Below are 25,916 nucleotides of genomic sequence, written 5' to 3'. Positions count from 1 at the left end.
TCTCACTGGCACCACCTCATTGCCCCTTGTGCTGTGGATCCCTGAGGCGGGCCTGTGATCTCACCGAGGTCACACAATCTGGTAAGCTCCTTAGCCAGACTCCCAGACATTGTCTGCAACCTTCTGTGGAGGTCCAAGGAAATCCTGGGTCCTGGCCACACAAGAAGCAGGCCTGCCTGGAGAGAGTTTGACTCAGCCCTCCTGCTAAAATGGGTTGCTGAGTTATTTATTAACGGTGTGCTCTTTTTTTCCATGTATACTTTTTAGTTGGCAGGAGATTAGGGAGGACTTTTTATTTTGATGTAGTTTCAAACTTATAAAAAAATTGCACACATCTTTTGCCCAGATTCACCAGTTGTTTACATTTTGCCTTTTTTCTTTCTCTTCGTGTTTGTACTAATGTGTGTGTATGTGGGTATCTACATAGTAGATAAACAATTCAGAAAAACAAATATATCTACATAGTATAGCAGATACACACATACATACACATAGATACATTTGTTTTTCTGAATCATTTGATAATTTTTATATACAGGTTTAATATAATTCCTATCAAAATCCCAGAAAAATTTTGATATGGACAAGATTATTCCAAAATTTATATGAAAAGCAAAGGGAAGTAGAACAGCTAAAGTAATTTTGAAAAACAAAAGTAGTAGGAGAACTCAGTTTATCTGATTTCAAGGCATTTTATAGAGAAGTTAAGACAGGGTGGTATTACTGGAGGAATAGACACATAGATCAAAGGGACAAAATAGAGAGCCCAGAAATATACCCGTGTAAGTACAGCCAACTGATATATATTTTTTTATTTACAACTTTAATCTTTTGTTTTGTTTTGTTTTGTTTTGTTTTAGAGCTGCAGTCTGTTATGCTGCCCAGGCTGGAGTACAGTGGCTATTCACGGGTGTGATCACTGCACACTACAGCCTTGAACTCCTGGGCTCAAGTGATCCTCCTGTCTCAGCCTCCTGGGTAGCTGGGACTACAGGCATGCATCACTGCACCTGGCTTCCAGTTAACTGATTTTTTACAGAAGTGCAAAAGAAATACAGTGGAGGGAAGATAGTCTTTTCAACAAATGGCTTGGGAACTGAACCTTGACTTAAGTTTCACACCTTATATAAAAATTAACTTAAAATTGATCATATCTTTAAATGTAAAACTTAAGAAAAAAAGAAGAAAATTTTTGCTATCTAGGGCTTAGTGATGAATCCTTATATGTGACATCAAAAGCATAATCCATAAAAAAATTGTAATATTGGACTTCATCAAAATTAAGAAATTTTGCTCTGTGAAAGACTGTTAAGCAGATTAAAATACAAGCTACAGACTAGGAGAAAACATCTGCAAACCACATTTCTGACTGAGAATCAATTTAGAATATGTAAAGAAGTCTCAAAACTCAATAGTAATAAAACAATCCACTTAGAAAATGGGCAACAGACATGCAGTGACATTTCCCTAAAGATGATACACAGATGGCAAATAAGCACATGAAAAAATGTTCAACATTGCTAGCCATTAGGAAAATGTGAATTAAGACCATGATGAGATATTACTACATACCAATTAGAACAGCTAAAATTTTTTTAAAAAGTGACAATAGCAAATACTAGTGAGGATGAAGAGAAACTGGATCTCACACATTACTGGTGAGATGCAAATAGTACAAACACTCTGGAAAACAGTGTGGCAGTTTCTTTAGAAGCTAAACACAATCATACTCCTGGGCATTTATCCCAGATAGATGAATATTTATGTCCACACAAAGGTTATACATAAATGTTCACAGCAGCTTTCTTTGCAAGGCTCAAAACCAGGAACAGCCAAAACATCCCTTAACAAGTAAATGGTTAAATAAACTGTGGTACATCCATACCATGGAATACTACATAGCAATAAAAAGGAGCAAACTATTGACCTATGCAAAAACCTGGACGGACACTAACGACATTATGTAGAGTGAGAGAGGCCAATCTTAAAGGTTACATATTATATGATTCCATTTATATAACATTCTCCAAATGACAACATTGTAGGGATGGAAAACAAGTTAGTGGCTGCCAAGGTTTAGGGGAGGTGGAGAGGGGTGTGGATATAAAGGGGTAGCATGAGATGTCTTGTGGTGATGGAATAGTTCTGTATTTTGATTGCAGCGGTAGTTATGTGAATCTACACAGGTGATAAATGGTACTGTACGAAATTTCAAGGGACCCATCCAAAACCAAAACAATCTCAAAAAAGAACAAGGCTGGAGGACTCACACTTCCTGATCTCAAAACTTACTACAAGCCTATAGTAATCAATGTAGTACTGACATACAGGCAGACATACTGACCGATTAAATAGAATAGAGAGCCCAGAAATAAACCCTCACATATGTAACCAGATGATTTTCAACTAGAGTGACAAGACTACTCAGGGAGGAAAGAACAGTGTTTTCAACATATAGTGCTGGAAAAACTAGATATCCATTTTTTTTTCCTTTTTGAGATGGAGTCCCACTCTGTCACCCAGGCTGGAGTGCAGTGGCGCCGTCTCGGCTCACTACAACATCCACCTTCTGGGTTCAAGCAATTCTCCTGCCTTAGCCTCCCAAGTAGCTGGGATTACAGGTGCCCGCCACCATGCCCGGCTAATTCTTGTATTTTTAGTAGAGACAGGGTTTCACCATGTTGGCCAGGCTGGTCTCTAACTCCTGACCTTAGGTGATCCACCCACCTCGGCCTCCCAAAGTGCTGGGATTAAAGGCGTGAGCCACTGCACCCGGCCTGGATATCCATTATGTTACATAAAATACACATAACATAAAGTGTTATGTATGTTGTCTAGAGGTGTTTGGCTTCCAGGGACTGTTCTGTGCCAGGCATGGGAAGGTGATGCTTCTGGGTTCAGAAACTAGTTTGCTCCACCACAACATAAGAAGATATGGAATCTCATCTGGAAAGCATCAGGCCCTTTTAGGAAGACAAAGCCTATGCTCAGGGGTTACGTGACCTGCCCGCATCACACGGAATAACACAGGCACCAGCCCTGCCCAGAGGAGGCTCCCAGTTTGAGAGTGACTAGGCATTGCTGGTCAGAACCAAACTCTGTGCATTGTGCTCTTACTGTTTCCCATTATTTTATTGTTAAGACTCGAACAACAAAAGTGGTATCAGTGCCACTGAATTGTATACTCAAAAATAGTTAAAATGGTAAATCTTAAGTTATATATATTTTATAAAACAATGAAATTGGACCCTTACCTTACACTATACATAAACATTAACTCCAAATGAATAAAAAACTTCAGAGCTAAAACTATAAAACTTCTAGAGGAAAACATAGGAAGAAAGCTGCAAGACATTGAATTTGGCAACGATTTCTTGGATATAACACCCAAAGACTGGCAACAAAGGAAAAGATAAAGTGGACTTTATAAAAATTAAAAGTTTTGTGCATGAAAGGACATTATCAAGGGAGTGAAAAGACAACTCACAGAACATGATAAAATATTTGCAAATTATATGTTAGATAAGGGATTAATATCCAGAATGTATAAATAACTCCTACAAGGGAACGACACAAAACCAAACGATCCAATGTGAAAATGGGCAACAACTTAAAGAGAATAAGAGAATATCTTATTCTCCAAATAAGATAGACAAATGGAAAATAAACATATGAAAAGATGCTCAAGGCCGAGTAAGGTGGCTCACACCTGTAATCCCAGCACTTTGGGACGCTGAGGTGGGCAGATCATTTGAGGTCAGGAGTTCAAGACCAGCCTGACCAACATGGTGAAACCCCGTCTCTACTAAAAATACAAAAATCAGCCAGGTGTGGTGGCAGGCGCCTATAATCCCAGCTACTCAGAAGGCTGAGGTATGATAATCGCTTGAACCCGGGAGGCGGAGGTGGCAGTCAGCCAAGATGGCACTATGGCACTCCAGCTTGGGTGACAGAGTGAGGCTCTGTCTCAAAAAAAAAAAAAAAAAAAAAAAAAAAGATGCTCAAAATCACTAATCGTTAGGGAAACACATTTCAAAACCACAATGAGATGCCACTTCACACCCATTAGGATGGCTACTATTAAAAATGAAACCAAACCAGAAAATAACTGTTGGCGAGGATGAGGAGAAATTGGAACCCTCGTGCCTTGCTGGTGGAAACGCAGAATGGTGCAGCCACTGTGGAAAATGGTCTGTCCATTCCTCAAAAAACTAAAAATAGAGTTACCAGATGACCCAGTAACTCCACCTTCAAAAGAATTGAAAATGGGATGTCACAGAGGTATTTACTTGTACATCTATATTCACAGCAGCATTCTTCACAATAGTCAAAAGGTGAAACTGACCCAAATGTCCACTGATGGATGAATGGGTAAACAAAATATGGTATGCACATACAATGGAATATTATTCAGCCTTTAAAAAGGTATGAGATTCTAATACATGCTACATACTTTCAAGAATGAACCTTGAAAACAGTGTGCTAAGTGAAATATGCCAGATACAAAAGGATGTATGATTTTGCTTATATGAGGTTCCTAGAATAGTGGAATTCATAGAGACAGAAAGTAGAATAGTGGTTACCCGGGCTAGGAGGAGTGGGGAATGGAGAGTTATTCTTTAATGGTTATGGAGTTTCAGTCTGGGTTGATGAAAAAGTTCTAGAGATGGATCATAATGATGGTTGGACAACAATGTAAATGTACTTAGTGCCACTGAATTGTACCTTTAAAAATGATTAAAATGGTAAATTGTGTGCTATGTATATTTTACCACAATATAAAAAGGCATAGACATACACACCTTCACTCAGCTGCAGTAGCCAAATTTCAAGTACTCAATACTCATATGTGGCTAATGGCTATTGGATAACACTGGCCTAAAATAGAAGATTTTGGAGGTGACATATATTTGGTGGGACCATAAGCATAATTTGGTTTTGATAGATAGCTTAAGAATATCAGCTTCCTTCTTCTAGTCAACAATAAAAGAATGGGAAACAGTAAGAGCACAATGCACAGAGTTTGGTTCTGAGCACCAATGTGCACTCACTCTCAAACTGGGAGCCTCCTGCGGGCAGGGCTGGTGCCTGTGTTATTCCATGTGATGTGGGCAGGTGATGTAACCCCTGGACATAGGCTTTGCCTTCCTAAGAGGGCCTGATGCTTTCCAGATGAGATTCCACATCTTCTTACGTTGCGGTGGAGAAAACCAGCTTCTGAACCTGGAAGCATCACCTTCCCGTGCCCGGCGCAGAACAGCTCCTGGAAGCCAAACACCTCTAGAAGGGGAGGGAGCAGCATGAGGAAGGTAAGAGAGACAGGGTCCTGCTCGGAAGGCTCCAGTTAGGTGGTGATGGGGACTCACTGCTGGGCAAGGGGCACCAGAATAAAGATGGGGATCAGTTCTCCCCTAACTCACGTACTTCCTGCAGAGAAATCAGCCTGCAACGCAGGATCCAGGCGAACAGAGGAGGGTGATAGCAAGCCCTCCAGTGGGGCAGAGGGAGGAGGTCTGCACTAAACATCAGTGAAACCACAAAGAACCAAGCATGGTGACTGGGAGTAGAACTAACCCGGATGCCAGGGGGCGAGTGGAGGAAGAGAGTTCTGTCCGCAGGGGGAGCTGCCCAGAGCTGCGACGAAATTTGCTGAGGTCATGCCCAAAGTCAATAAATAGGGATGTGAAGAGGATTCCATTTCATGATGTGTTAAAAAATTTCTTTAAATCTATATTTGACAATATTTCATGTTTTTAAGTCTTCAAATAGAAGCTAAGCCAGGAAAATCTGAACTCTGAGGATGTGGAATGGCCAGAAAGTAAGCCCTGTGCCTCGCAGGTGGGCACTAGTGGTCCTCAGCCAGGAAGTGGCTCTTGTGAGATTATTATTGAAAAGGTGCAGTAAAAAAAACCCAAAAACAAACAAACAAAAAACTTTTTTGAAAAACACAAGCAAATATGTTCCCCCTACAAATACTCCAAATAACGAAGGAGACCCATGTCCAGACACACACATGCTAGAATGGTAAACACCTGTGTCAGGATTAAATGACACCTTGTAAGATGTTCATGGTCCCCAACAGGAAGGGACTCAATAATTGTGTTTCAATGATGTCTAAATGTATGCTTCTGTCTTTCATATCCAATCCTTGGGTGAAGTCCAGGGGCCACTGCCAAGGAAGTGGGTGCTTAGGGGAAAAGAGAAGAGCTGAACTGGCAGGAGGGTCAATTGGAAAGTTGGAGAACTGCACAGAACAAGGGCTCTCAAAACCTTGATTTCCCTTAATGAAACCACCCACAGTGGCACCATCGTCAAAACAGCTGTGAAGAACTTGGAGGCTCTGTCCTCCTCTCAGCAGATTCATCAGCAGGAAGGACTTAGGCCAGGAGGAAGGGAGCTGGGTCCAGGAAAGGAGGGCTGTTCCTGCAGGCCAAGTCCCCATCAAGGCCACCAGAGCGTGCTTCCAAGTACTGCAGCTTAAGCAACGCCCCCCTGAACTACTGGAGGAATCCAACTCTAGGACCGCTACTTATAACTAAAGACAAGATACTAGCACAAGGCCACTCTGCTGTCCATGGAGAAATACCACCAAGCAGACAAAACATGTTACTGCTGTGCTCAGGCTCTGCCTGCACCGCTGGGCACAGGGCTGGGGTGTCAGTCACGCAGGAATGCAGAAAGCAGGAGGACTCACCAGAAAGGTGGGTCAAAAAGGAGATGTACACAGGCAGGAGGCCGAGCAAGGCACCCATCCATGGAAAACGTGGCGTAAAGATTTGGGGTTATTATGGTTGGTGGTGGGGGCTGGTGAGCAGATCTAATATCTGCACCTCGAGAACACACCATCCCTTCCAGCCAGGGTGCACAGCAAGCAGCTGGCACAGAGCCCCCCTTCCCCCACTCCATTCATGCCCCTGAAGCGGCAACTTAATTTTCTTTAAAGGGAGATTGGGGAGGGAATGGAGAGACGAAGAGAAGACAAATAGCTGGAGAAAGATAAATACCTAAGTAAGTTCCAGGAAAACACACACAGAGGAAACACACCAATGCTGAAACCGCAATGATCCAGAAGAAGCTAGTGTTTGGTTACCATTTGCTTCAGCATCCCAATTTCCCTGATCATCTTTTGTTTTTTTCTTTCTTTTTCTTTTTCTATTTTTGAGACAGGTCTTGCTTTCTAGCTAGGCTGGAGTAGTCATGCGATCATAGATCATTGCAGCCTTGAACTCCTGGGCTCAAGAAATCTTCCCTTCCCAGCCTTACAAGTAGCTGGGACTATAGGCATGTACCCCTATGCCCAGCAACTTTATTTTCTGTAGACATGAGGTCTCATAATGTTTCCCAGGCTGGTCTTGAACACCTGGCTTCAAGTGATCCTCCCACCTCAGCCTCCCAAAGTCATTGATCATCTTGACGTATTTCCTCTCATTAGCTTGTCATTTTCCAGCAGGATATTCTGCGGTCCAGTTTCCCTGTTCTGCTCTCAAATGACTGACAGGGGGCCGACACCCTCAGGAGTCACCTCCATGCAGATGGGGCACTGGAGCACTGCTCTGTACCTCCCAGCAGAGGTGGTGGAATGAGGAGGATGTGAGTATCCACCTTTTTTAGTACAGGCTCCACGAAAATAAACCATACCACCAAATAAATGGTTTAATTTTATTTCAAAATTGTACAAAATGGCCATAAGCGGCTATAAAAAATTTGTCTTCAGAACATGTGGAAATTCAGAAACAACAAAACAGGTATCATTCACAGTGTAATGGAAAAGCTTTTTCTGAGGCAGGAATTATAACTCTTCCTTCTTTTTCCCTAGTCTTTCATGGTCTCCCTCCCGGAGGGCTCGAATATAATTGGTAAATCCCAATTCCTGCAGGGAAGTGGGAGAGAGAGAGAGAGAAAGAGCTTTAATCCCTGAGCTGGCTGTGCACTCTCTCTCCCCACACCCCCAGCCCCTCCAGGGGGTCACTCCTATGACAGGGAGAGGTGGGCAGACTTCTGCAAGGTGGAGAGGGTCTGCGTGGCTTGCACCAGCCCCGACCAGCAAGTGAGAAAACCCTCGGCATCTGGAGTCCAGCCTGCCTCTGGGGACAGGACATCTGTGGCAACCCCTTGGGACTCTCCTCCAACAATGTCAAGCCTCAGCCAGGCCCAGGGCCTGGGCCTCTCGGTGCAGTGTTCCAGCTGACTTCTGCAGTTTCTGGGATGCTGCCCAGTGCTGCCCCTCCTCAGTGGAAGTTTCCCTGCCCATCAGCAGAGAGAGAGCTCTGGGCAGACGCCTCTCCCCCACTTACTGTGCGGTCGCTGTCATACTTTTCTGCGAACTTCCCATAGTGGTAGTAGTGGAAAGTGGGGTAGCCCTTGACCGCCTCCTGCTGGCACAGGTCTTGGTTCTTGTCTTTGACACAGTCAACAGCGGCACAGGCAATCTAGGAGCCAAGGTAAAGAGAGTTGGCACAGGGTGTCCCCAGGCTGAGGCCTGGACCCCACAACACAGATTGCACATCTAGTCCACGTCACAGGCCCACTCTGATTTTTCTCCTCAGTGGCAGGTAGGAACTGAACCAAAGCACCCCCAGCTCAGGACTCCTTGGAGACTGATGGTGCTTGTTTTCAATTTCCAGATGGGTAAGGTTAGGGGACTCGGCCTGGAGTGCCTTTAGACTGTCCTTTAAAATCAAGAGTATGATGATCGTAAAGGAAATGATGACTTGAAAGCATTTGTAAACACCACAGGTTCTGTGGTGCTATCTGTAAGGGACTGTAGGATTTAATCATTTCTCCACTAATATTTCCGGAACATTAGCTTGGGGGGACAGTATAGTGCCAAGGTTAAGGGCAAGAGCTTTCAAGTCAAGTTCCCCAAGTGCACTCTTGGTTTGCCTGGACAGTAAGACTTAAGGAAAATAACTCAGCCTCTTGGTGCCTCATTTTTTTCAGCTGTAAAATGGGGATAATAATAGTATCTAGGCTATCAGGATATTGTGAAGACTGAATAAGAGAATTCCAGTGAGGCCAGTGAGCACAGAACCTGGCACCAGATTCATGGTCAGGAAATGTCAGCTGCTATTACAGTCACTTCTTCCAACCCCATATACAAGCTCTGTCCCCACTTAGGGGCTCAGTGTCTGGGCAGGGGTTGGATAAAGGGACAATTCCAACATGATGTGATGTGAGGGATGAGGGAGGTGGTCCAGGTGCCAGGTGAGTGGGGCAAAGGCGCTCTGTATGATTCGCCATCTGAGCCAAGACTGGAAGAGGAGGAGACCAGGGAAGCACATCTGGAAACTGGAGGAGCCCCGCATGAGTAAAGCCATCAGAATGTTTGGTCAGAAAGTGGTTCCCACATTGGCCACTGGCCTCTTCTTGACCATCTAGCAAATTCCACATGCTGGGTAGCTTTTCCTCATCATTTGTTGTTTTTTCAAAGGAAGACAGTATAAAGCAGAAATGGGGAACTTGTTTCCGGTTGAGGGTCATGCACCAGGGAAGCCCGAGAAGGGGTCCTCAATGGCCATACCCAGTACAGAGGTGTTATGGAAGATGGGGCAGATTCCCATGAGAATGAGTCCTCCTACCAGGCAACACACACTGAAACCCTGCCGTGTGCCAAGCCTGTTCTAGATGCTGGGGGACAACGTCGACCTTGACAAAGTCCAGTTATCAAGCGTCTGCTGTATGACAAATTAGATCATTTTAGATAGAGCTCAATGAATGCTTGGAAGAAATTAAAAGAGGGTGATTCAATAAGATAATTTAAAATTATTGAATAACCATGATTCACACAGTTCTTTGGTTGATGGTTATTTGCATTTGGACAAAGCCCCTTTCCAGGTAGGAGAATCCTGTGGGCCCCCATGGCCACGTTTACTCATCATGTCCCTCATGCCCAGGTGAGCTGCCAGATGGATAGCTGAAGAGAAGAGTGAGGTGCGGCCTCCCCTGGCCACCAGGTGCCACCTTCACCCCCCTCACCCTCACGCTTCCCTTCTACTCTTCAGCTATGTAACATTCTATACGGTGAGACTTTTAAAATGGAGTTTACAAACTTGCTGCCTGCAATCTGTATCTGGCTCTCAGTCCTCTTCTATTTGGCCCACATTGAATTTAACAACAACAAAAAAAATAAATCTGAATTAGCTCCAACATAGAAATGGAGCCAGAAGATTTAATACAACAATTTGGCTTTCCAGCTTCTCTTTAAAAGTCAGAAGACTTGATGGCACTTACCCTGCAGTCTCACAGGTGACAACTGGCTGGGCAGAGAGGCAGCTGTCCTTCAGGTAGGCTAAACATACCTTCCCCAGCACCCCCTGGAGCCCAGTTCACCCAGGCCAGCAGACTGGCCCCTATGCACTTCTGATAACCGCAGCCCACCTCTAACGCACTTTATTATTTAAAAACATGAGGCAGATGCTCCCCTGGCCAAATTGTGGGGTTCCATTTCTCAGGGCAGGTGCTATGGGGCCCTGCCCAGGGACACGGGCATCCACATACTTTCCTTCCCTGCAGCCAGAGGCTGAGGCCCCATGCCCAGCCCGGGCCAGGAGCTGCTGCTCCGCCATGAAAGTGCTGGATGAACATGGCTCTGGGCTGCTGCTCTCCCTGCATCTGCTTTAAATTATGAATTTAATTTGTATACAATGCCCTGGAGCTATTGGAAATATAGTGTATGGTTTTATAAATCTACTAAATTAGAAATGTATACTTGTTCTGAATCACCTAAACTAGCTGCCAGCCGCACACATGGAATGCAACTTCTAGCTGCAAAGGTGAATCCACGCGCGTTTTCCACAGAAGAAGAGACAAATGCGTCCTCCCCAAAGGCAGCAGCTTAGACTCTTTGGAAAGAAGGCAGCGAATAAAGCTCTTCTCAGCTATTGAAATTTCACCTAAATGCCTGTCCCCTTACACCCAACTCAAGATTTGCACTGATCACCTGCAACACAGAACACCTACGATTTCTCAATTTGTTCTATGGTGGTTGGTACAAATCCTGGGGCACACGCTGCTGGTGTCCTGCCACATCCCCTCAGACCAGCCCTTGCCACAGCACCTGCTACTCTCAGCCTCAGAGCATCCTCCCAGCCTCAAGGAGCTGGACGTAAGGCCAATGACAGATGGGGGTCTAGAACAAGGACCCTGGCTTCTTTGGCCTTTGAGTGGAACAGCTCTGTGTCACGTTTCCTGGTGAGGTCTCCTGTGGGACTGAGCCTTGGTGACTCATCCAGTCATCTGCCCATAAAACACCTGCTTTGGTTCCTCCCCTTTCGTGTCTCACTTCCAGGGTCCTCTCTGAACTTCCTGAGATCACTTCCCAAATAAATTCCCTGCACATGAGCCCAGGAGCAGGGTCTGCTTCTGGGAGAACTCAAACTCTGACAATGCCTGTTTGCGATTCTCACTCTGCCCCTCTCCAGCTGAGAAACTAGCATATGATCTCTCTAAGATTCAATCACCTCTTCAGCAATATGAGCACTGTAACAATACCTAGTTGAGCAAGCTATTGTAAGGACAACATGATGTAAGAAATGCTTTCAGTGGAAGAAGAGCTCGCAGTAAATATCAAATATGTTATATTGTTCCTTCACCTAGTCAACATTTACACAGGTCTAAGGTGTCATGACTGTGGGGAGTTCAAGGACAAATGAGGTCTCTGTCCTGAGGGAGCTTTCACTTGGAAAAGGCAGTAGCCAGCCTCATAAACAGGAGGACCTACATGTCATGGCCAGATTCCAGCAGTGAAGTGGGCCCATGGCAGAGGTGGGGCCCCCACTGCCTCAGGGCCTCCCTCTAAGGGTGACCTTCACACCTGGCCCCACACCACCCCCAGCCTGCACACCTTGACGTGCAGTGAAAGGTGAGCCCCCCACCTGCTTGCCAGCCCACCACAGGTCCTGTCTGCCTTGCCCCTTCAATAACACCATCTGTTCCAACACTAACACTTTGCATTCCTTTCCCCACCAGTGTGCCAACCGATAAAGTCCCCAAGTAAGCTCCCGGGAGGGGGTGGAGGCTCCCCTGCTAAAATATGAGCTGCCACACACAGCTTTATTGATTCAGTAAAATAAATCTCTGCAGGAGCTAATATTGACTTTGGCTATGAAAATGGAAGTGAACAACCAACTGCATATTGATTGGGATAGGAACAGGGGCTGGCTTCTGGGTGGAAAAACCCCACAATTCCAGCTAAGAAGTGGCAGCTTGGGGTGTCAGGAGACCCAGTTCTGGCTGTCAGTGACCCGCTGGGCATTCCTGAACAAGGGACACAGCTCCTCTCTGGGCCTGGATCCCTCACGAGTAAAGGGAGAGGGGACAGGCCAACAGTCCCCACACACCAGCCTGTGGCCAGCACAAGAGCCAGCTCTTAAAAACCACAAATTTCCAGCACCATCCCCCAGAGACTCTGATCTGATAGTTGTAGGATGGGACCCAGTAGTCACAGTGCCATGCCTGGAGCACAGAGTGGGCACCAGTAAGTTCAGCCCCCCAGGCCAGATGGCTGGCTTCCCTGATGTCATGAATATAACCTCCAGGAAACCCAGGCAGGCCACCTGCCTCAGACAGAGAGGTTATGAAGTGCATTCCTGAATGCAAGTGAGGGTGATCCCTGGCTTGGAATAAAGGAAGCTGAAAGGAGAGACAGAGGGAATAAGAGACAGGAGGACTGAACCCAGGAAAAGGCCACAACACCACTGGCCCAAGACAATCAAGCAAAGGTGTGTCAGTGTCTAAGCGGAGGGGAGCATCAAGGAAATGGGCCCCCATGTAGCAGTGCAGGGGGAATGGGAAGAGAAGACGTGGGCTCTCAGCTGCCCGCTGGAGGCCTGGCAAGTCTGGCCTCACCTGCACTGATGTGGGTCAGGCCACAGGACAGCCTCAGCGGCGGTCTAGTGGGCAGAAAGGGGCCACGTCAATGGGGCTGCCCCTTCAGGGTTTCCCCAGCCCCCTCGGTGCCTCAGCTGGACCACGCTCCCTGACACCATGCTCCCCAGCATGGCTGGGAGGGCAAGCCCAGGATCTGTCTGCCAGTCATGCCTCAGGACCCTCACAGATCTCCTGGGGCCTATGGAGACCTGAGTGTCCAGTGGGACAGGGAGATGGCACACCTCAGCCTTTCTCCTGCTGCCCAGAGCACCCAGCATTCTGGGTGGCACGTGATGGACGTCAATACAGAGTGGCAGCTATTCCGGTCCTGTGGACTGGCAGCCCAGGCCATGCTGGATATCGTGGGACCACCAAGCAGGAGCAACTACCCTGTGCTGTGCACAAGTGGGTGGGAACAATGAGGGACATGGACACGGGAAGGAAGCCCCTGCTGCCATACCCCACTCAGTGCAGGGAAAGGGGCAGGCAGAGGAGAAAACGCTTCTGGTCCTTGTACTCCCTTCTGGTGGGGGTGAGGGGTGCCTCAAAGCCGCAGCCAGGGCTTTCGGGTAACAATGGGACCTCCTGACTCCAGAGAGAGTCCTGGGCTCTGGGTCTAAGTGAGAATCAGGTTCCCAGTTCATCCCCACTCTGCCTGCATGGGCCTGTCCCCAGCCTGGCTTCCTTTGGCTTTATGTCCCTGTAAAGTTCTCATTACCCCATCTCTGCCACTGTCTCTGGGCCTGTTAAGGTGATCCTAGCACCTGTATCTCTGCTCCCACAAGGTCTGGATGGTACCTTTAGGCCTGACCTCCTGTTGGCCTTGATCAAAACTTCAAACCCTGCCCACCCGGCCCTGGGATGGTCATCTGTCTCTGCTTGTGAGGGCTGCTCCACTAATACCTGCTCCCCTTTCCTGCCTCGGCTGAACTTCCGTCTAGGCCTGCTTGGCCTGTTTATCATCTAGGACTCTATGCTCAGCTTATGCCTGGCCTTGGTTCCTTCCAGCCTGCCCTGGCCCCACCTGGGATTCCACCCAGGAAAGTAAGGCACCCCTGCACGTGACTCTGGGTTTGGGTGTGTGTGAATGCAGATCCCACGTGACTGCCAGCTTCTAGGGCCTGTTAGGCCAGAGGTTCCCATGACTGAGTCTCAGGGCTGGGAGGAATGTTTGCAGTCCTCTGCACCAGTGCTCCGCCTGGCATGGATGAGAAGGGAACTCAAAGGCTGGCAGTCAATCACACTTCCCCGAATTCAGGGGTATTTCCCTGCCCCACAAGCCCTCTCCCAGCAGAAGCCCCCACTGCACCAGCTGCCTGGGGGATGTGCCTGGGGGACGCGCCTGGAGGCCCTGCACTCTAATCCAATCTGCAGCTCTAGCTTGTTAATTTTATGCTTCATCAGTCGGCAGCTGCAGGAGCCTTTCACTTAGGCAGGGCGAGGCTCCACTGACATGGCCTTGCTCTCCTCCACCATGGCATCCTCCAGTTGACTTTTGTTGGATTTTTAAATTTGTATTTTTAATTATATAAGTAATGCATGATGACAATCCTACAGTAAAAAGGTTCAAACACTAAAAAAGTAAATAGATGACCCCTTTAACCATCCCTCTCCTCCAAGTAAGTGCTGGAATGGTTCAGCATATCCCTTTTAGTTGATTTTGCAGCATAAATCCAGCCTGCCCTATCTTCCTTCTAAAGAGAATGTCCTGGTTCCCAAGGAATTTCCTGCTTACAGGTCTTAGCAGACCTGCCCCTGTTTGGGGAAGGACCTGAATGACAAGAAGGAAGGTGTAGGAATTAGCTGCAGGCAGATCAAGAGATGAAGAGCGCTGTCCTTACCTTTCGGTCATCTTTGAAGGCATCAGCAGTAGCAGTAAAGTGCGGAATGACCTTCTTACAGTGTGGGCACCCTGTGTGAGAGGGGAAGAGAGCACACAGGACTGTGATGCATGTGCAGGGAGGCTGCAGGGCCAGGGACCCTTCCTGAAAGCTCCAGAGAGGGCTCTCCAGGAGCTCCCCACTGCCCGCCACACTGTCAGGGTCCTTTTGTCAACCTTGCCACTCTAACCACCTCCCACCCATGTCTGATCTATTGGTAGGGGGGACTGGTAGGAGTCCCTGTCACAAGCATCATATGCTCCTGCCCAGGCTGGGGGGCGATGGTCACTGTAGTCTAGTTCTGCTCCTTCCACAGAGGACGAGGAACAGCCTGATCTTGGGGGCAGAGGGAGCTTTGGGCTTAAAGAGGAAGGCACGGGATTCTCAGAGCCGCTACAATCTTCTCTTGCTCCAGGGACAATAGCAAATCTCTCCATTTCCTGACTGAGAGGAAGTGGCGTTGGGAAATGCAGGGTGGGGGGATTTTGGGGCAACTACTCTGCACCCACTGCTCATGATTTGCTGCTAACTTCTGCATTCCTAGCAACCTCCACCCAGCCCAGACTGTGAGCAGCCAAATCAGGCCCTGGTCCCCAGGTCTCCATCTACTCTTTGCTCTACAATAACCAGAACCTCAAAGCCAGGAACAGGAAGGCCATGGTCAGGGTAAGAGGGAGAGGAGCTACGGGAAGTCACCAGGCAGTCCTCAGGTCCCTTGATGCTCCCTGTCCCAGGGAGAAGGCTTGTCAGAGCAGCCTAAGGCCTTTGAGCTATACTGGGGCCCCTACCTCCAGCATCTGTCTCTTGTTCTGGGCATCACCCTGAGCCCCAACTCTGACCTCAGTGTCTCAGAAGCAGGGTAGGGACCTCTGTGGGGGCCACTTTCTCCTCCTGTCCTGGTGAGCCCAGGAGCTGCAGGCTGATCCAGCCCTTCCCTCAGCACTAACAGATCAGAACCCAAACCCCCCTCCTCTCTCAGCCCTTTCCCAGTCACTGGTGAACAGAACTGTCCAGGGCACAGAAGGGCTCTGAGGGGAGGGTTTCCCTGAGCAAGGGGAGGCTCCAGCCCACACCTCTACGTCAGCCAGCCTCCCTCAGCCTCGGGAAGGCAGAGATGCCACGGTGGGAACAGAAACGGCTTTGCTCATCTACTTTCTCCTTTTTAAAATAAGATAATAATGACTGGCATTTCAAAGGGTTTTGTGAAACCAAATTAAGGCTAAGCTACAAGTTTAATCTGAATTTAGTCCTTGAGCCAGTCTTGAGATGAGCAGGACCACCCACATGGCCTGGCTGGCAGAGTGGCCAGCTGGCCCAGAGCATTGTGGGGGGTGATGGGGGGTGGGGGTGTAGAGGGCTTTGCCAAGTCTCATGCAGAAGGAGCAGAAGAGACCTGGGCCAGTGATGGGTTATATCAGAAATGAGACAAGCACAGCTTAGCAATGTGCCTAGCACAGCCTAGCTCATGGCAGAGACTGGATGATTTTTTAATAGCCTAAAATGGAAATTACAAGTAACACTTCACTAATTTGACATAACAGAAAGAAAAATAGCTCAAATTCATGAAAATGTCACACTATAAAGGGATGATGTTATAAAATTTTCAAAACACTTAAAGAGCGCAATCTACTGGTTAACAAGGTATGTCACAGACAGCTCCTGCAGGCAGCTGCAGGCCCCTTGTGTGTGGCCTATGCCCATAATAGCATTAGGCTGGCGAAAATAACCACCCCCCTTCCTCAAAACCTGGTTTCACTATTAATTTTTCCTTTTTAACCTCTTTGTTCATTGAAAGTCTAAAGGTAACTGTCAGCCTAGTGTAAATTCCTGTTACCATCAATTTAAAATATCTAGGCCTCAGATTAATGGCTTTCTGTTGCATCTAATTTTCTCATTATCCGAAAGAAAGAGTGGGGCCAATGAGTAATGGGAGGGAGGGCTGTTTCAGAAAGTGCATGAAGATGCTTCCAAGAGGTGTCAGGAGGGCCAGATGTGGATGATTTTTTTTATTTAATGTAGGCTTAAAAAAAAAAAAAAGGCACTGCCTCTGTGTAGCAGAAAACCAAAGACGCCTCCCAGAGTGGGGAAAGAGGAACAAAGACTGAGGACAGGCTGGACAATTGCAGTTCTAGAGACTCCGCCAAGCTGGCCTGAGAAGGGCAGTCACCATGACCAGACCATTCAGCGTAAAAGGAACAATGAAACAGCAGGAGGAAGAGCTGTGCAGAAGCTGGGGAGACAGGATGCAGGGGCAGACATGGTGGGAGAAGGGATGTGGGAGGTGGAGAGATGTGAGGGGAGGTAAGATGTTGGGGTGAGGCAGCTAGAAGGGGAGCAGGAACGTGTGGGTATGCTGCTTTTCCTTTAGACCTCTATCAGGCATTTGACTTTACTATTTGACATTTCTGTAGTGTTTAGATCCTTCATATATAAAAAGTATATAGTATATGCCATATTTATATATAAAAATAGGTATTATTATTTTCATTATTAAAAAGTCAAAAGATGTATCTTTTTTGTCCTTGGAAAGTCTTCCCCCTGTAACCCACTGATAAAGATGTATGTCCCTGGGGCAAGGTTTAGGGACAGAAAAACGCAGTAACAGAAATGAAGAAACTCTAAGGACCAAGCCCTCTGCCAGAGGTTGAGTCACTCAGTGACCCTGCCCTGGATGGATTGTGTTTAGAATTTTGTCAGGGTAGACAGTGAGCCCCTCAAGGCCTGGCAGGGACATGTCTCCCTCCCTTGTACCCTGGGCCCTAGACACTGCACAGCACAGAGCTGATATTTGATGGGTAGGTGGAAGACAGGTGGGAAGGCAGGCGGGAAGGCAGGCAGGCTGGAAGGCAGAAAGGAAGGCAGGCAGGAAGGAAGGCAGGAAGGAAGGAAGGAAGGAAGGAAGGCAGGAAGGCAGGAAGGAAGGCAGGAAGAAAGGCAGGCAGGAAGGAAGGCAGGCAGGAAGGAAGGCAGGCAGGAAGGAAGGCAGGAAGGAAGGAAGGAAGGAAGGCAGGAAGGCAGGAAGGAAGGCAGGAAGGAAGGCAGGCAGGAAGGAAGGCAGGCAGGAAGGAAGGCAGGAAGGAAGGAAGGCAGGAAGGAAGGCAGGCAGGAAGGAAGGCAGGCAGGAAGGCGGGCAGGAAGGAAGGAGGGCAGGAAGGAAGGCAGGCAGGCAGGAAGGCAGGCAGGCAGGCAGGCAGGAAGGCAGGCAGGCAGGAAGGCAGGCCAGGCAGGCAGGCAGGCAGGCAGGCAGGCAGGCAGGCAGGCAGGCAGGAAGGAAGGAGTTGTAGATCTTTGGCAGCCCAAAAGGGTAAGAGTCTCTCCCAGATTCCCTGGGGATTCAAGCACCTGTCGGTCCCAGCAGCCAGGGTCAGGGTGGCGGGGGGCTTATGTCTGCTATGAAGGCCCCTCAGTCAGGGAGGAGCTGAAGAGAGGCAGAGGAAGCACTGGGCTCTGGTCCAGAGGTCTGGGGGAAAGTATTTCGTCTGGTCAAGGGCTTCCACTCCTGCAGCCAGGTTCTCACTTGCTGCTGAAAACACTCTCACTCTCTGGACTGTGCCTGTGACATAGAGAGAGCCATCCAGGCTGCGGGAGGGGCCTGCCACTAACTTGCCCCATGGCCTTGGGCAAGGCTCAGTCCTCCACCCCCTAATGCCAGAGGGAAGATGTCAGCTCCCGAAAATTTTCAGGCTTCTGGGCACACTCTACAGACCGAAGAGGACAGCCGGAAGCTCTGTAAGGGACTGGGAGAGGACAAGTCCCACTCTGAGAAGGAAAGGCAGAAAGAGATGGGCAGGGAGGCTGCCTCAAGGAGGGGCTGAGGCTGTGGCGGCCCCTCTCAGACCCTGAGAACACACAGACTCCACGGATTACTGACACTTGAAAGGTGGGGACGGGGGAGCCAACAGGAGGGCCAGCTACAACTGAGCAGGTTTATGGCTAGATGGAGCTGCCTGGCTTCTCTGTAGACTGCAGCTTTTATTATCCTCACTCCATTAAGCTGAGCTGTAACCTGGGGGAGAGAGAGAAGGGCAGCAGAGAGTGGGAAATTCTAAGAACCTTTCATTGTAAGTATCAATTAACAACTTCAAAATGGGAATACACAGAAACCTGAGGTCACCGATGCCAATGTCGGCAGACGTGTCACTTCCTCAGCTTGAGCTCTGATTAAAACGAGCACAGCACAGGAGCTCAGGAGCGAATGTGGCTGTGCCTATGCCACGGCTCCAGAGCCATCTGGAAGGGCAGGGAGAGGGGGTTCCAAGGTGCTGAAGATAAGTCAGTGTCTGGAGAAGGAAGAGGGGGCGGGGACAGCTGAGGGGTGGGAAGTGTGCAGGTAGGGGACAGGGGCATGGAGGAGCCCAGGGACAAGAGGGGACGAGCACAGAGGCAGAGGGCTTTAGGACAGACACGAGAAAGGCTGCCCCAAAGGAAGGAGAGCCCGACGAGTCTGACAAAAGGAGGCCCTGGATTTGAAGGACCTCTTAGCCTGGAATAAAATTGGAGAGCCTGGTTCATAATGGAGATGACCCTGGGATCCATCAGCGGCTGCCTTGGTCCCTGGGGTGGGTGTGCGGGTCTTTTTGGTTTGGTGGGGCCAAACCCCTCTTACTGTGCCACTCAGTGAGCACCCAAGCTACTTACAAGGGGCGTAGAACATGACCAAGGTGTGTTTCTTCTTCTTCAGGGTCTCCCGGAAGTTGTCCCCCACCAGGTGCAACACGCTTGTCTGCTGCTCTTCCCACGTGGGCTCTGGGGGCGGGGGGGCCTCAGGGCTGCAAGAAGCCAGGGGAGTGGGGAGGCAGCCATAAGGAGAGATTTTTAGATGGGCAAGGAAATCCACCCTCAATGTCCCAACCACTCGGGGGAACATGCATGAAGAAACCACTACAATCCTTCTAAAATTTCATTTTAAAACCACAGTTTAAACACAAACAAATCTGTGCCACCAGCAAAGACCTTCCCTGATTCCCTCTGAGGAGCCCATTAAGGAGCCATTTTGTAAAATATGGAAGACTTGACACCATTTCAGGTCAGGGCAGCCCCCCCAGTTGTGGGCCACGAACTCCTTGACAAGAGCATAGAGGCACCTCTGCTTGGACTCCCAGGCCCCTCCTTTCTGCCCCCTCTAGGACCCTACATGATCGTTCATTATCTTCTGGTTCTCAGCTTCTGTTCTGGTGGAGAGCATGGGCCAAGGAGTGAGGCGGGCCTGGGTTCAAGTCCAGATGACTTACCAGCTGTGCAACCTTAGGTAAGTTACTAAACCCCTCTGAGCCTCCGTTTTCTTTTCTGTTAAATGAGGACAATGGGATCTTTATGAAGAGCAGAGAATGTATGAAAAGCATCTACTCAGTCAAGGAACTAATATTTACTGAGAGCCTAGATGCTCTAATAAATGCCAGGCATTGGATAAATGTTATTGCTTCTCAGTCTCTTGCTGTCCACTGGGTCCCTCCACTCTGCCTCATGCAAGGATGGATCTCCAGGGTCTTGCAATAGCTTTTGCTCCCCTGCTTCCCTCTCTATAACTCAGCTCCCCTTCTTGGGAGTATTTCTGGGGAGAGGGCTACACCCACGCTGCCACGTCTCCCACTGGGCTTGTGCCACAGCCCCTGCACCAGCTGAGTGCAGCCCTCTCTGTGCTTCCAGTTCTATTCTGAGCCCTTGCAATTCTCAAAGATCTCATTCCTCTGCATGGCTCCAGTGATTTCCATGGCTGAGAAGAACTTAAGGCCTCACCTCTCATCCAAGCTCCTTATTTCCAGGTGTTTTTCAGGCATTTCCAGCTGGAAGTCCCATTGTAACCTCAAATCCACCATGACTTAGAACACATTACTCTTCCCTCCTCCTCCCAAATCAGTCTCCCTGCCTCTCACCTTCTCCTGTGCTGGTGACTAAGACGGGCCCCTCCCAGCCTTCCTCCCTGTCTTTGTCCTCCAGCTTCTCTGGTTCCATGGCTGACACCACTCATCTGACCTTTCTGCTCTGCCTTTTCCCTGAACACTGCCTCCCCAGGCTGGCCTGCTGGCAGGCGCATCTCAGTTACCCACAGCCTGGCAGCCTATGCACCTGCCTGTAAATGCCATCCACCTTTTCTGGCGCTGTCTGCTCGCCCTGCTTCTGGGTGACGAGTCTCAGTTCTCCACCCCCGAGCCATCGGCTGTTCACACTCCACCTGAAGGATCCCCTCCAAGTTCCCGGAAGAACTACTATTTGTCCCTGGATAGGGCCCTTAACCTCTCTGAACCTAAGTTTCTTCACCAATGAAATAGGAATTAAAAACTCTGGCCTCAGCAGGACTTGAGGATGAAATGGAGCAAGAGATAGGAGAGCATTCTGCAAAGGCTGGCTGCTGTGATCACTTATGTATTGATACTGTCAGTCATGAGAAGTCCACAATCAGTCATAAAAATAGCTTCAACCTTTTTTTTTTTTTTAAGACAGGGTCTCACTCTGTTGCTGAGGCTGGAGTACAATGGCACCATCCCAGCTCACTGTAGCCTCAACCTCCCGGCTTCAAGCAATCCTCCCACCTCAGATTCCCAAAGTGCTGGGACTATAGGCGCACACCACCATGCCCAGGTAATTTTTTTGATTTTCGGTAGAGGTGGGGTCTCACTATGTTGCCCAGGCTGGTCTTGAACTCCTGAACTCAAGAGATCCTCCTGCCTCTACTTCCCAAAGTGCTAGGATTACAGCCATGAGCCACCGTGCCCGGCCAGTTTCAACTTTTTTGAGTACTTCCACATCATGTCCTGTGCTGAGCACTTTTCACAGGAGTCTCATTTAATTCCCTAGACAAGTCTATGGGGAAATTACTGTCTCCATCTTACAGATAGGAAACTGGGGCTTAGAGGCATCAAAGAAATGGCTCAGGGTCACGATCTCAGCCCAGGTCTCTCAGACTCCAAAGCCCATGCTCTTGACCTAAAAGCACTTAAGAAAGTATTTAAACCTGAAAGCACTTAGCCTGAGTGCTTTTCAGGCTCTCAGTAGCAGCAGTGGCACACAGAAAGGACAGAGGCCCCTCATGCTCGCTGTTTGTGGCCAAGACTCTGGAGCACTGATTAGTGATGATCGACACTCTGGATTCCCTCGGCTCTCTAACCAGAAGTCCAAGCATCACAGGGACCTGGCCAGATCCCCCGCCCCACCCAGTCCTTTCCAGTGAACCAGCCCTGGCACCAGAGCAAGGCTGGAAAAGTGGGTGTGAACAAGCCACTTACTTCAGACACCAGAAGGCCTTGAGGGGTAAGCAAGCACCTTGTGCCTTTCAGAGGCAAACCATCATTTTCCTCTGGTCCCTAAGACAAAGGCCTAGCTACTTTCCAAATCCTCCCAGTGGATGAGCAGGACAAAGTGGGAGAAGCTGAGGCCAGGATCTCATCAGTCCATTCATCTCTTGCCAGAGGCCTCCCCTGAATCTAGTGGCAACTTTGCTGCCATTCCACAAGCTGGTGTTGCTTAGAACACCATGGCTGAGGGTCCCATTCACACTTCCTGAATAAAAGAGTCTCAGAGTCTATGCTTTAAATAAACACCTCATATCTGACTGATGTCCTAACAAAGTAGCTCAGACCGTATAGGTTCAACTGTGTCCCCCTCTAATTCATATGTTGATGTCCTAACCCCCATTATCTCAGAATGTGACTATATCTAGAGATAAATTATCCCTTTAAAGGGATAATTCAGTTAAGATGAGGTCATTAGGGTGGGCTCTCATCCAACATGACTGGTGTCCTTATAAGAAGAGCAGATTAGGTCACAGATACATATAGAGGGGTGGCCATGGGAAGTCACAGGCAGAAGATGGCCAAGGGGAGGGGCCTCAGAAGAAACCAACCCTGCCAACATCTTGATCTCTGACTTCTAGCCTCCAAAATTGTAAGAAAATAGGCTGCACATGGTGGTTCACGCCTGTAATCCTAGCACTTTGGGAGGCTGAGGCGGGTGGATCACTTGAGCTCAGGAGTTCGAGACCAGCCTGGGCAACATGGTGAAACCCCGTCTCTACTAAAAATACAAAAAATTAGCCAGGCATGGTGGCATGTGCCTGTAATCCCAGCTACCTGGGAGGCTGAGGCAGGAGAATCGCTTGAACCTGGGAGGTGGAGGTTGCAGTGAGCCGAGATCATGCCTCCAGCCTGGGTGACTAAGTGAGACTGTCTCAAAACAAAACAAAACAAAACAAAATTGTAAGAAAATAAACTTCTGTTATATTGTTATATTATATTGTTGAGCCACCTGGTCTGTTACTTGGTTATGGCAACACTAGCAAACTAATACATAGGCTGAGGGGGCTCTTCAAAATCTTTATCCTCAGTTGCAAACCACCATAGCCTGCCCTGTGGACATTACTGGAGGCCCAGCCAACCACTAGCAAACCTGGACGAAATGAGTCTAGCTCTGGCTATGAAGAGCTGTGTCTCCTTCATTTATTCAAAGGGAGTGGAATAAAATGCAGACAATAAGATCTGGGCCTAAGGAGGCTGAGACAGAGAAAAAGCAACACACGGTTTAGTGCGTCGATGAAGCTGCGTCCAGAAGGACTGCCAGCAGTGACCTGATCAAGACACGTGATCAGCATATGAACGGTGGTTTTAGGGTTGAGGAAGTCAGATCCGTCTTGACTCCTACGGGCATGAGCCCAGGACATTGACCATAAAGTTTACTTCACCTCCTCAAGGTGGTCTCCAGGGGCCGCCAGCTGGCAGTTAGGATGTGCTACTGAGATCGTAACACTTACTTTTGCATCCACTCGAGAAACTTCTTCTTTGTCCTGAGCACAGGCACTGCGTATTTCTCTCCATTCTTAAAATACTTCAACGTAGGAAACTCTGAGATGTGGAATCTTTCTGCCAGGGCCTTGTTGACAGTGGCATCGACAGCTGCAAGGACACCAGAGCTCTGGGATGGGGGAAAGGCCAACCATGCATTACAGCCTCAGATGCGGTGCTGGTGGAACACAGGAGCCCAGACGCTGCCCCCACAACCCATCCTGGACCTGCTGGAATTTAACTGGGGTGGCTAGCCCAGTGGGCTCCCATATCCCAGGGAACAACTGAACATTGGCACGGCCATCATTTCTCATTTATGAGCTGAGATGAGGCTTTTGAATCTGCCCCACCAGCCACGTTGAGTAGATTGGCACCTGTTCCTGTTAGCCAGGGTCCCAGAGAAAAGAGGGAGCAGGCAGAGGTCACCTGGATGGGCACGGGAACATGGGCCAGTAGTCTTTCTGCCCCCTCTAGGATCCCATCTGTCTAAGATGTTCTACTTGGGCACACAGAGGTACTGCTGGCCTCCACGGACCACGGGAGCTGCAGCAGGGCTTGCAGGGGAAAGTCATAATGATTCCACCTGTCAGTGATTCTTTCAAAGAGAACGGTGAGGGGGAAGGAAAGGAAGCTTACATCCGCTTCTCCATGGAGGGCTTCTGCTGCCTTCTCAAACTCCGGCTTCATTTTCTTACAGTGGCCACACCCTGTGGGGAGAGATCAAGAGAAACCATTCTTATGGCACAGAGGCCCTCGGGATGCTCCCCTGCGCCGCCTCTGTAAGGCAGCTCAGTCCCATTCCCAGACACCTGAGAAAAGCAGCAGCAGCACCAGCTCAAAGAAAAGAAATATTTTGCATAATCCACCAGAAGTGGGTTGGGGTAGTGGGAAGGTACCCCAGACACAAAAATAAAACAACTGCATAAATAATACGGGCAACTGGTGTGCCAGGTACTGACCAGTGCCTTACAGCCTCATAACTACCCCACAAAGTAGGAACTGACATTATCTCCATTCTATGGATTAGACAATTGAGGCACCAAGAGGGCAGGTGACTGCCCAAGGCCATATACACAGCCATGGTCACAGAGCTGGGTTGAAAACCCAACCATCTGGTGAGAGGCCCTAGCTGCAGGCAGCGTGTAGGTTGTGGCACCATGCTGTGATCACCATCATCATCTTCTCTGGACAGAAGGCAGTCTGAGGCCTTGAGCTGGGCACAAAAATTCACAGAAGCATAAGTATGGGACATAATTACATTCTAATTGTCCCCATATGACATGATGGGAATTTTTTGGGATAGAAACTGCTCTGTCCTTTTCTTTCTTTTTTTTTTGTTTTGAGATAGAGTCTTGCTCTGTCTCCCAGGCTGGAGTGCAGTGGCGCCATCTCTGCTTACCGCAAGCTCCGCCTCCTGGGTTCATGCCATTCTCCTGCTTCAGCCTCCCACGTAGCTGGGACTACAGGCACCCGCCACCACGCCCGGCTAATTTTTTTTGTACTTTTTCAATAGAGATGGGGTTTCACTGTGTTAGCCAGGATGGTCTCGATCTCCTGACCTCGTGATCCACCCACCTCGGCCTCCCAAAGTGCTGGGATTACAGGCGTGAGCCACCGCGCCCAGCCTGCTCTGTGCTTTTCTTACAGCTGCATGAACACAGTAAGATGTCAGAAATAATAAAATTTGATGCATTAAAAAGAAATTAAGCACTTTGTGTAAATGACAGACCTTGACATTTGTACATTGTTTTCATTTTAATAGAAAGAGTACTTTCTGGCCTCTGATGCTGGAGGGACTGGGAGGTGAGGGGTCTGCAGACTGGCTCAGGATGGAGGCTGCTCAGAAGGTAAGCCTGGCTGTGCGGGGACCATGCATTAACTAGGATCAGCGGATGACAGGTCGTGACTCAACCTTCTCAGGGGTGTGCCACTGTGTGGGAGCTGAGAACGCTATAATTCTACTACTGATTGTTAGGAAAAAGAAAGACAAGAAGAAAGCAAGACAGAAAGTCAAACAGTGTAATCAGAGGAGACCTCCCACTGAGCTACGGAATCGGCTTTCCTGCCTCCAGCTGAGCACCCGGCAGGGGTGAAAGCTCCTGTCTCCTCCTCCAAGGCCATTTCTGCAGAACTCAGCTCCAGGTGAGACATGAACCTGTCTCGTTCTTAATCTCTCCATTTCACTCCTGCCTGTACCTGGCTTCCTCAGCTCATCCTCACCCTGTCCCTCCCAGGGACAAGGGACCCCGGAGTGGCTACTCCCCACTTAACTGATAACAGAAAACCAAACTGATCCTTGAGCTCCCAGGCAGTGTTGTGAAGCTCCTCCTCTGGACAGAGCACTGGAGACATGACTCGGTCAAGGGCACTGACCCTCATGGAATGCAGCCCAGGG

The 25,916-nt window shown here is 48.7% G+C and overlaps 1 protein-coding gene and 1 non-coding gene across 5 annotated transcripts in view, besides 2 other annotated features; both read right to left on the bottom strand.

The window, feature by feature from the left end:
• Positions 1-7,645: 7,645 nt before the first annotated feature.
• PDIA5 (protein disulfide isomerase family A member 5) overlaps positions 7,646-25,916 on the bottom strand; it is a 95,080-nt gene continuing 76,809 nt past the window's right edge. The window contains exons 11-16 of one of the 4 annotated variants that reach the window (NR_028444.2): positions 24,158-24,228; positions 23,491-23,632; positions 19,386-19,516; positions 14,709-14,779; positions 8,295-8,429; positions 7,646-7,870 (exon numbers count right to left, since the gene is read on the bottom strand). Coding sequence is in view for 1 of the 4 variants with exons in the window: in NM_006810.4 (NP_006801.1) it covers positions 7,790-7,870; positions 8,295-8,429; positions 14,709-14,779; positions 19,386-19,516; positions 23,491-23,651; positions 24,158-24,228 (650 nt within the window). In the remaining 3 variants the exon portion in view is untranslated. Of the gene's footprint in view, positions 7,871-8,294; positions 8,430-14,708; positions 14,780-19,385; positions 19,517-23,490; positions 23,652-24,157; positions 24,229-25,916 lie in introns of those variants that run through there. The other 3 variants (NM_006810.4, XR_007095629.1, XR_007095630.1) reach the window with 3 other exon arrangements.
• MIR7110 (microRNA 7110) lies at positions 7,871-7,956 on the bottom strand. Its single transcript, NR_106960.1, has one exon. It is a non-coding gene; the product is annotated as a microRNA 7110 (primary transcript).
• Positions 12,581-13,080: an enhancer, noted in NCBI's record as "H3K27ac hESC enhancer chr3:122875517-122876016 (GRCh37/hg19 assembly coordinates)". NCBI's record gives its function as "activates a minimal SCP1, AML or CMV promoter by ChIP-STARR-seq in naive H9 embryonic stem cells {active_cell/tissue: H9 hESC(naive)}" and the evidence as "EXISTENCE:reporter gene assay evidence [ECO:0000049][PMID:30033119]".
• Positions 15,122-15,622: an enhancer, noted in NCBI's record as "H3K27ac hESC enhancer chr3:122872975-122873475 (GRCh37/hg19 assembly coordinates)". NCBI's record gives its function as "activates a minimal SCP1, AML or CMV promoter by ChIP-STARR-seq in naive H9 embryonic stem cells {active_cell/tissue: H9 hESC(naive)}" and the evidence as "EXISTENCE:reporter gene assay evidence [ECO:0000049][PMID:30033119]".

The sequence above is a fragment of the Homo sapiens genome, chromosome 3 (genome assembly GCF_000001405.40).
Source record: "Homo sapiens chromosome 3, GRCh38.p14 Primary Assembly".
Classification (NCBI taxonomy): domain Eukaryota; kingdom Metazoa; phylum Chordata; class Mammalia; order Primates; family Hominidae; genus Homo; species Homo sapiens.
This window is presented reverse-complemented; position numbering and strand designations above follow the sequence as displayed.